Below are 10,821 nucleotides of genomic sequence, written 5' to 3' on the forward strand. Positions count from 1 at the left end.
GCCTACTTGGCTCCAAAGCTGGGGTTGGGCCTGGGGTGTCCCAAGCCGGCCTCTCTGGAGGCTCCTGAACCCCGGTCTCAGAGACATGACCCGGGGTGAAAGGCTGAGGGGTTCCTTCTCCCCTAGGTGCTATGTGTGGGAGGGGCCTGCGAGCCCTCTTACCCTGTGCTCCTACTCAGGCCTCACCCCAGGAGTGCCCTCCACCTCTGGGGCGGTGGGAGGCATCTGAGCAGCCTGCCCCTTCCAGGGTGGGGACGGACGGTGCCACCTCAGGCATCACCCCACGACTGGCCCCAGGGGACATGTGCTGGAGGCTCAGGGTACCTATGTGGCCTGATATCCGCCCCTCAGCTCCTCCGTCCCAGAATAGCACAGCCACAGCCACACTGGTTTAAATCATTTATCTCCATGTAGAGATTTGAGTACAAAAATAAACGGCAACAAAACAGAAGGAGTGTGAAATCCGGGGATCCACAGGGCTTCTGTCCTCCACCTTCCATGCAGCTGGGGGCTGCATCCTCTGTGGGGTGGCTTCATCCTCTGTGGGGTCTGTGGGGCCTGCTCCAAGTCATCAGCATTCCATGCCCACCTGGACCTGGTCCCAGACTTTCGGGGAAGCCCTCAGCCTGGGGCTCCTGGCACCCCCGTTGCGGCTGGGGAAGAGAGGTGTGGAATCCCCAGAGAAAGGGAAGGAAAGGCATGAGGGGCCTTCCCTGGGGGGAAGGTCACAGGCTGGGGGCTAAGATGACGGCCAGGAGGCTCAGGGCCAGCCCCAGGCTGAGGGCACTGTGGGCGAGGGCGGTGCGGGTGGGTGCAGCGTTGTGCAGCTTCTCATTGCACAGGTCCTCCTGGCAGCACTGGGTGGAGCTGGTGCCGCTGCTGACCTGGCCTTGCAGGGTGTAGCTGGGTGTGCACGACTCCGCACAGTCCTTCTTCACCAGATTCCCCCTCAGAGGCTCCACTGGGCACAGGTGAGTGTGGTCAGGCCAGGCAGCCACCTCTGCCCCCCACCTCCCCACAACCTTCCAGCCAACACCCACAACAGCCAGGGATGTCCCCCAGCCCCAGGGACACCTGGACAGATGCTACCCACCTGTGTTCGTGGTCTTGCAGAAGCGAGAGCTGGCCGGGCAGACCACAGAATGCTTGCAGTTGCTGGAGCTGGTGCACACGTGGCAGCGCAGGGTAAGGGCTGGCGGGGAGGGAGTCCGGCTCAGCGGGCCCAACAGAGGCCTCCTGGTGACTCAGCAGGGCCTGCTCCCCCACCTGCAGAGACCCCTCCTGGACAGAGGCCCTGCTGCCCTTGCCCTAGGCCCCCAAACCCGGGCTCTGGGTCCTGGCAGGGCATGTGCCCTGAGTGCAGCCTCAGGGGACATGTATTCCAGCCTGGGCCGGCTTGGAAGAGGTGTCCTGCCCTGCCCCTGTCTAGGGTGTGTTGCAAGCCTTTCCTCCAAGGTCTCAGGGAGCTCTGCGACTGCCAAGAGGACACTGGCTCTTGTCCCCACCCCAGGGGATGTCCCTGGAGGAGATGGCTATGTTTCTGAGGGCCTGACGGAGCTAAGGCCCCGGGGGCAGCCAGCTTGGCTGCTCTGAGCCTATGACAGGAAGGGCTTGGTGGCCTTTGGGCTGTCCTGGGCTGTGCTGGGGGAGACCTGGGGACCGGGAGGGGCTGGTGGCAGGGACTAGATGGCCGCTCTCCCAGTGAGAAGCATCTCAAGACAACCCCCTGCTCCACTCTCTCAGGGTCCGTGACTCCAGGAGTCAGTTCTAAGATCCTCAGATTCTGAAACATTGTAAATCTGACACTCGTTAAGATTCGGGCTCCATGTTGTTTTAAATTTGAAGAGTCTAGCACCCACAGTGTCGGGGTTCTCTGTGCCTAGATGTCGTCAGCTCCAGGCTCCTAGTATTTGGTGACCACACAGGCCACAGCCGCCCACCCGCCCGTCCCCTTGGCCCAGCCCCTCACCTGGCCCTGTAGCCACAGCCAGGGCTGCAAGGAGCAGCAATGCTGTCCTCATCTCTGATGTCGTCTGGGAGCAGTGCGGGCCCCTGCATTGCCAAGGCCTTATAGGCACGGGCTGGGCGGGGGTGGGCAGTCCGCCAGCCAGCGGCATTCTGCAGGGCTCTGTGCAAGCGTCAGCCCAGGACGGGCACCTGCCCCACCCTGCCTGGCCCACGCCCACCAGCCTGGCTGTCGCTGGGCGCTGCCCCTGCTGCCCCCCGCCAGGCAGAGGTCTGCCCTCCGCAACGGGGCCCAGTGGCCTCCTGGCCCTGCTGTTCCTGCTGCTGTGCCTCCATCTCTCCCACTTTCACTTCTCTGTCTCTGTGGGTCTTGTTCTCTCGCTGCCGTCCGTTCCTGGGTCACTTTGTCTCTGACCTGCCACCCGCTACCCCCCGCCCCCCACCCCCCACCATCCATCACCATCCTGTGTCTTTGTCCCTGCATTCCCCCCATAGTTCCCTCAATAGAGTTGCAGCCTGTGCCCGGTGCCCTGTGGGTGCCCGTGGGTGTCCAGGGCAGGGGAGGTAGGAAGGGCAGGTGCTGGTCCTACTCTCCTGGCTCTGGGCTCAGGGTTGCTGCCGGGGATGCAGAAGGTCCTTGAGCTGCAAGGGCTCGGGGTGGCTGTGGGCTGATGGGGTGTGTGAGGCAGAGGCAGAGGCAGAGGCCACTCCGAGGCAGGGAGGGCAGCTGGGGCAGCAGTGAGGTGAGCACTGGACAGAGTGAGGACTGTGAGGACCCGGCCCTCGAAGTTGCCTGGGGAGCCCTGTGGGCAGAAGGCCCGGGCTGTGGAGGCAGCAACTCCACCCTGCGTTGTGCAGGGAGAGACTGAGCCCTCCTGGTCTCCACCAGCCCTGCCTCCCGCCCTCCAGGGCCCCAGAAGCCCTCCCCGTGGGATTCCTTCCCCCACTCTCCAGGCCCCTCCTGCTACGTTGGGGGCAGCGCCATCCCGGCCACTTTGTAACTATTGCTCTAGGTGTCCCGGCTCCAGTCTCCCCAAAATCGTGAACTCTTTGGGGCTGGGCCCCAGCACCCAGGGCCTCAAAGCAGGTTCTTGGTCTGCTGCCCGTTGAGTGGAGGCCAGTCCCCGCCTTCACCCTCTTTATACTCACAGGAGGGACTTTCTTTCCCTGGAGACGGGGTCTCTGAGCACCCACCGCCTCGCGCAGGAGCCCACCTCTTGGGGCCCCCATCCACCTGCTCAGCCCAGCACGCTCTGCCGCTCGCCTGTGCTGGGCAGCACCCACCTGAGTGGTGTGGAGGGGCCCACAGACTTGCTTTGCCCCTGCCCTGGCTAGGCTGAAGGTGAGTGGGAGCCGGGGCACAGATGGAGGTCAGCCCTGGGCCCAGCCTCCTGCCGCCGCTGCCACGTGGCTGATGAACAGACAACAACAGGCCCAGGGCAGGGCAGGGCCGGTTCCGAGGAGGGTGGTCCTGGGCTGGGCTGAGGCTTTTGGGAGCACCGTGGGTACTGGGGCCAGTCAGGCCTGGGCTTGAGACAGACCCTCTGGCCCTTCCTCCCGGCATCTCTCCCTTGCTGAGCCCCACGTCTCAGATGCCGGGGATCCCAGCAAATGTCTCCTGAGAATGCTCCTGGCCGGGCTCTCCCTGACACAGTGCCGGGGCCTGGAGGATCCACCTACAGGAGGGGTTGCCTGGTGGTGCCTTTAGAAACCAGGGTGCAGGCGGGAGCCCCCTGGGGCAGCCCCACATTTGCATCTGGTGCCTGGCCCTGGCTGGAGCTTGGTGGGGACGTGTGTAGTCTCACTTGCCAAGGCAGGTGACCCAAAGGTCCATGCCCCCACCCAGAGAGAGGAGGTTTCCTCCAGCTCCAAGGCCCTGTGTCCATGGGTCACAGTGAGAGGCATGGGCAGCTTGGGGGAAGGTGCTTCCAGGGGCCTTGGGAGGCAGAGCTCAGGGCTTGGTGGCGGGGTGATGACTCGGTGGGCATGGCAGGTGGGGAGGGTGACTCACTGTGGCCAGGGGCATGAGAGCTGCTGGAAAAACAGGTTTGGAATTCCTGCTGGGTCTGGTGGAGCTGGAGGGTCCGGGATGTCAGGTGGCCTGAGAGTGGGTTCTGAGTGTGGGGCCATGGGGGAGTGTGCTCCCCACACCTGGGGCTGGAGGAGGGCCCTGCACACCTGGCTCACCCCCGTGGGACACCTCAGGCATCACTGTGGCTGCGTCCCTGCCAGGCATGGGAGCCGGAGCGGGGTTCCAGTTTTGTGGGATGAGGGCCTCTGACCTGGCAGGGCTGCCCACGAGGATGAGCTGCCCATCCCAGGTGGTCCTAGCAAAAGCATGAACAGCAGCCCTACACAGTTCACTTTCAGGAGAAAGCGGGTGCTTCTGATGCCAGGAGCCCTTGGACAGCTGAGCTTCTGGGGACAGTGCAGTCAGGGAGGGTTTCTTGTAGGCAGTGACCTGACTAGAGCCTCAGAGCCAGGGATTGGAATGTGGAGAGGAGACACTGTGGCCCCTCATGTCAGTCCCTGCCCAGTGCTTGTTCACTGGTGAGGAAGTGAGGGCCAGAGAGCTCCAGGCACGTTCTGGGGCAGAACCTGGTGGGGTCTCAAGCACTTCTCACTATCACCGCCAGCCTTTCCCCCCTCCTCCCTCCTCTGTTCTCTAGGGCCTGGGCCCTCCCCCACTCCACCCCTCCCACTCAGCCCCTGGAGCTGGGGCCCTGGGCCTGGTTGGTACCATCAGGGTATTGGCAGCAGAAATGACACCTGGGAGAGGCGACGAAGGGGCCTGGGGCAGGGAAAACCACCGCCCCACCCCGTTAGCCTTGCCCCCTGCTCCCTGAACCAGGAAACCCGGCACGGGGACAAGCCCAGGCTTCTGTCTGGAGCCGAAGTTCCTTGCTCATGCCCCTTCCCCCACCTTCTGCCCCCTCTACCTTATGCTGGGCCCCTAGGAACACACAAGGGTGTGGTGGCTCAGAGAGGGAAGCGCCTGGCTTAGGGCGGCACAGCACCGTACTCCAGGCTTGCACCAGCCCAGCCCTGGGCCCTGTCCTGGCTGAATGGGTGCCTGGTGGACAAGGCGGGGCCCCGGGCTGGAGAAGCTGGCTGAGTGGGTGCCCGGTGGACAAGGCGGGGCCCTGGGCTGGAGGAGCTGGCTGAGTGGGTGCCTGGTGGACAAGTCAGGGCCCTGGCCTGGAGGAGCTGACTGAGTGGGTGCCCGGTGGACAAGGCGGGGCCGCGGGCTGGAGGAGCTGCCTGGGCTGGAGGAGCTGCCTGGGCTGGAGGAGCTGGGAAGCCCCAGGGCACAAGGAAGGGCTTCTTCACCCTCAGGCTGTTACCTGGGCAAGCCAGAATCCCAGCCACACCCCAGGGGTTCCAAAATGCATCCGTCTGCCTTGAGGCACTCCATTCATTCATTCATTCACTCACTCATTCATTCATTCATTCTTCAACATTTTATAAGGACCAACCATATGCAAGGCACTTTGGATATAATGGAAACCAGGAGAGAAGAGAGACAGGGCCCAGGTCCCAGGGCCTGCAGACCAGTAGGGAGTGGGAACAGACAATTGCTGCCTCTGTGGGACCCACAGCAGGGGTGTGATGATGTGGAGGGTGAGGATCTGGGGCTGAGAAGCCAAGGGAGGACCAACCTTGTTGGAGCTGTCTAAGCAGGGAAGGGTGTGTGGCCATTACCTGGTAAGCAGGTGGGTGTCGGGCAAGGGCATTGGGGCCCAGGTGCCAGGCCGCTTTTCTGTCTCTTTCCCCCGCAGGGGCAGGTGGCTGCCCCAAGCTGAGCGGCTGAGTGTGTGGTGTCTTTCTAGAGGCTGCCCTGATCCTCTCAGCCCCCTCACCTGCACAGATGGGGCCTCAGATGGACAGCAAGGGCCCGGCCTTGCCCGGCATCACCCAGCAAGCGGGAGCCACAGCTGGGCTGGGCCTCTGGGCCTGGGCTCTTCCCTCACACCTGGCCTCCCCACTCCTCTTTCTAGTGCCGGAGTCACCTTTACACATAGCACCACAATCTCAGGCAAAGTCTCTTTCACCTGCTTCCCAGGGCCAAGCCTGGCCCTGCCCTAGTCTTAGGTCACCCCCTGGGACCCTGGCTACCAGCCACCCCTCCCAGGGTACACCTAGTGTCCATGGGCCGGGCCGGGCCGGGCCAGGGGCCGGGGATGGAGGCCAGCTCTGCCCCTCCACACAGGCCCCTCATCCTTGCCAGGTCTCTCTTTCCTGCACTGCCAGGGGGGCAATCTAGGGAGCAGTTTCGTGGATGGAGAAACCCTTCTACCTTGGGGCACAGCTTGTTCCCAGCAAAGGCTGGACTGGGGCTCTAGGTTCCTAAGGCCCAAGAGAAACAAACCTGTTCCCAGGCCTGGCTGGTGGTGCCCACAGGCGGGGCTGGCACCTTCCCTGGGAGAGGCACCATTTCAGCACCTAGGACCGGCATGGTCCCTGCGAAGCGCTGGCATTCAGGGGGCTAGTCAAGGGTGCCCAGTGCCAAAGTCTGGGCGATGAGGGAGAATCCCTCAGGGTGTGAACTGTGTCCAGCCTGTGGTAGGGGGAGAGAGGTTGCAGCAGAGTGCAGCCCTGGAGCCACGGAACCATAGCGCAAACAACTGTGGGGACCTCAGAGTCCCAAGACTGCAGGCTGTTAGCATGGGCTTGCAGAACACAGAACCCTAGAATTGCAAGACCTAAGGAACCTGGATGAGAATCAGGTGCCCTGGACGGGGGTTATTTTCACACATTAGGACATGCTCCCACCAGCATTCTAGGGAATGTCAGAGGGTTTGTGTTAATGCTGAACTCCTGGGTTCTCCCCTCTGCTAGGCCACAGCTCAGTCTACTTCCTGTTGTGGCCTGGAACTTGTGGCTGCCAACCCTTAGCTCCATGAGGTAGGTTCAAGGCTGGTGAGCACAGGGCCCACCTCACTTTCCTCCCCCACTCCCCTGCCTTCATTTGCTCCCAATACATACCTGCTCATCCATCCTCTATCCTCCATCCATCCATGCATCCATCCATCTACCATCTGCCCACTCATTCTCCACTCATCCACCCACCCATCTATCCATCCACTCATCTGTCTATTCTCCATCCATCTATTCATCCCTCATCCAGCAATCAATCTACCATCTGTCTACCCATCCATTCATTCACTTATCCATCCATCGACTCATCCATCCATTCTCCATCCACTCATCATCCATCCTCCATCCATCCAGTCATCCATCAATCAATCTACCATTTGTCCACCCATCCATCCATCCATCCACTCATCTGCCCACCTTCCATCCATCCAGCCTTCATCCATCCATCCTCCATCCATCCATCCTCCATCTTCCATCCATCCAGCCTCCATCCATCCATCTTCTCATCCATTCATCTTCCATTCACTGATCATCCATCCTCCATCCATCCACCCACTCACCCATCTGTCCTCCATCCATTCATCATCCATCCATCCATCTATCTACTCATCCATCCATTCTCCATCCACTCATCATCCATCCTCCATCCATCCAGTCATCCATCAATCAATCTACCATTTGACATATACACCATGGAATACTATGCAGCCATAAAAAATGATGAGTTCCTGTCCTTTGCAGGGACATGGATGAAGCTGGAAACATCATTCTCAGCAAACTATCGCAAGGACAAAAAACCAAACACCACATATTCTCACTCATAGGTGGGAATGGAACAATGAGAACACATGGACACAGGAAGGGGAACATCACACACCGGGGACTATTGTGGGGTGGGGAGAGGGGGGAGGGATAGCATTAGGAGATATACCTAATGCTAAATGACAAGTTAATGGGTGCAGCACACCAACATGGCACATGTATACGTATGTAACAAACCTGCACGTTGTGCACATGTACCCTAAAACTTAAAGTATAATAATAATAAAAAAATCTACCATTTGTCCACCCATCCATCCATCCACTCATCTACCCATCCGTCATCCATCCATCCATCCACTCATCCGTTCACCTTCCATCCATCCATCCTCCTTCCATCTACACTTCATCCATCCGTTCTCCATCTTCCATCCATCCATCTACTCATCTATCCATCTTCCATTCACCCATCATCCATCCTCCATCCATCCACCCACTCACCCATCTGTCCTCCATCCATTCATCATTCATCCATCCATCTACTCATCCATCCATCATCCATCCAGCCATCATTCATCCTCCACTGATCCATTCACTCATCCATTCATTCTCCATCCATCCATCCTGTATCCATCCTCCATTCATCCATTCACCCACTCATCCATCCATGCTCCATCCATCCATCCTCCATTCAGCGATCCATTCATTCAACCTCCATCCATCCTGCCTCCTCTGGGCAAGTGAGTCAGACATTTTGACCACCTTGGGAGACATGGGATGAATTTAGTGCTGATGGCGCAGTGTGACCTTTCCCTTAGTCGTAAGGAAAATCCCCAAGATATTGAGTGCATCCTTCCAGAGGGTCTCCTGATAGGTGGGCTGTTTCACTCCTGCTCTCCTGTCCTCAGGACAGGCATTCTTCTTCTTACTCTGCCTGTGGTCCTCCCTTGCCCTGTAGGAGTTCCTGTCCCACCAAAGGACTCCCCACCATGAGTCAGTGCAGACCAGCTCCCTCACGGGAAGTCCTAGCAAGACCTCGGACCAGCCTTCCGCGCTTCTCAGGCAAGGGTTACTTGGTGGTCTGCAGTGGCTTTGTCCCTCCAGGGCCTGTCCCCAACTCAGTGTTCCCACCAGTGGGCACTGCCCTTATACCACTTATGTGTCCTCTAGGAGTTAGTTAGAATGATGTCTCTCTGTCTCTCTCCCCGCTCTTCCTTTTCTATTCACCCACACCTGCCCCTGACAAAACAGTAATTCTCAAAGGCCAAGGAGTCCATCCTGGCAAGGGTTCCGAGACCCTTGGGTCTGCAGCAGGTCATAGCAGCTTTGGGGCTGGCAACACCCAGACCATAGACACATGCTTTTTAAAGGTTACAGGATAACTTGGGGGGACATCATGGATCCTAGCCCTTAGGAATGAAAGAACTATCTTCCATGCACTGCATGCCCTGTCTTCAGTCTGTTGCTGGCACCAGCACCTCCACAGGGCCATGTGAGTTGTCACCACATGACTTGGGTGGAGGAGGCTTGTCTTTGCTCCTCCTGGGATCAGGTGACTGCTGAGCTTTGAGGCTGGAGCGTCCCAGCATGGCTGCTCCCTGCTCAGCTTGGATGTTGGGTCCTGGGCAGGGCCTGGGGTGGGCTGTCCCTGCAGGAGGTGTGCGTGTTGCTGCAGTCCTCACTGGGTACCGGGCCAGGCCAGGCTTCCAGGGGAGGGAAGAGAGGCCCATGCTGGGCCCTGCCAGGGAACTCACCAGGACCCCAGGGGCTTAAGGGATCAAGAGGGTGTTACATAAGAAGGGAATCGGGTGGGTCCTTGGGGAGCAGGAGATGCCGAATGGAAGGAGCATGGAGGCCCAGGAGCCCCTGAGCCCATGCAGCTGTGCCCGGGACAGAGGAGCAACTCTGACGGGCAGCCCAGGTCACAAGGAGCCAGGTCGGCACTGAAGGGACCTGAGAAAGCCCCACCCACCTTCATTTCAGAGCTGGCACTGCTGACAGCAGGGTCTAACCACAATGCTGGCTCTGGGTTCCACTGTCCCGCACATCTCAGCCTGAGCCCTGCTGAGCCTGGTGGCCTCTCCTCCCTGGACCCAGACCTCCCTCGGGCATTTCAGGGGTAACTCATTCCAACCCATTCAGCCCCACCTCTCCCCCAAACTGCTCCTCCTCAAACCCGCAGAGGCCATGCAAGGGCCCCCAGAGGCCTACATCTCCACCCTCCCTCTGCCTCTCCCTTGGCCCCAGTCTGGCCCTGCCTCCTCCTGGCTGGGGGCTGTGCCTGCCTCTGCCTGCACCGCCCCGCCCTGCAGTCCTCACTCCTTACCCTGCACTTGGGTTGGATGCAGTCCCTCCCCTGGACCCCCTCAGTGCTCTCCCACACTCTCAGCCTCCCTGTCCTGCCTCTGGGCCCTGACTGGGCGGTCTGTGTGCTCTGTCCATCTCGGGGGGCTGGGTACCCCCTTCTGTCTCGGTGCCCGGGTCTCCTCTCAGGCCATCAAGCCCTGTCCTACCTCCGGGCCTTTGCACATTGACCTCATTGTCAGAGACACTGGTGCCTTCCAGAGGGCCCCAGCCACGGCCCCCGAGGCCTGTCCCTCCTACCCTCCTGCCTCCCTCACACCTTGGCCAGGCGCTGCAGCCCACATGAGCTTGTCACTTTGCCTGCTGTGCCCACTCTTACCTGCCCACTCGAGGGCAGGGACAGTCTGTCACTGTGGCATCTGAGAGCCATGATGCCTGGTGTGCAGGAGATGCCCTCCAGAGCTGCTGACTTAGTGATGTGGAAGCCGGAGGGCCCAGGGGTGCAGCTGAGCACTCACCAACCCAGGAGTGGGGCTCCCTGTGCCCCAGCTCTTCCCCTGTGGCGAGGGGCTGTGGTCAGCTTTGTGTGGAAACAGCCTCCTTGCCATGCCTGGCTTCTGGACACAGAGGCTCCTGCAGGCAGAGGCTGTGGGCTGCTGGGTGGCATCAGATGCGGTTTCTGTTGGGACTTGCAAGGGTGGGGCCTGCCCTGAAGGGTGAGCCCCTCCTGAGTCAGCCTGCCTGGGAAAGCTCCTCGGGCAGGAGTCAGGATTCCCACCTTCCTTGAGAAAAGAAAACTCCAACTTTACTCTCAGGGTGGCTGAGAGCACCTGACCGCACACCAACCTCCCCGTGGATCCCTAGAGCCCAGCAGGCTGGGGCCTGTGGAAAGCTATGCTGGGGAGCCCGTGGGAA

The 10,821-nt window shown here is 60.2% G+C and overlaps 1 protein-coding gene across 1 annotated transcript; it reads right to left on the minus strand.

Annotated features, from left to right (window-relative positions):
• Positions 1 to 386: 386 nt before the first annotated feature.
• Positions 387 to 2,044, minus strand: LY6D (lymphocyte antigen 6 family member D). Its single transcript, NM_003695.3, has 3 exons — positions 1,970 to 2,044; positions 1,094 to 1,192; positions 387 to 961 (listed from the first exon to the last, which is right to left on the minus strand). Exons 1-3 carry the CDS (start codon positions 2,019 to 2,021, stop codon positions 726 to 728), a joined length of 387 nt encoding a protein of 128 aa, NP_003686.1. The 5' UTR covers positions 2,022 to 2,044; the 3' UTR covers positions 387 to 725.
• Between the last annotated feature and the right edge of the window lie 8,777 nt (positions 2,045 to 10,821).

The sequence above is a fragment of the Homo sapiens genome, chromosome 8 (assembly GCF_000001405.40).
Source record: "Homo sapiens chromosome 8, GRCh38.p14 Primary Assembly".
Lineage (NCBI taxonomy): Eukaryota > Metazoa > Chordata > Mammalia > Primates > Hominidae > Homo > Homo sapiens.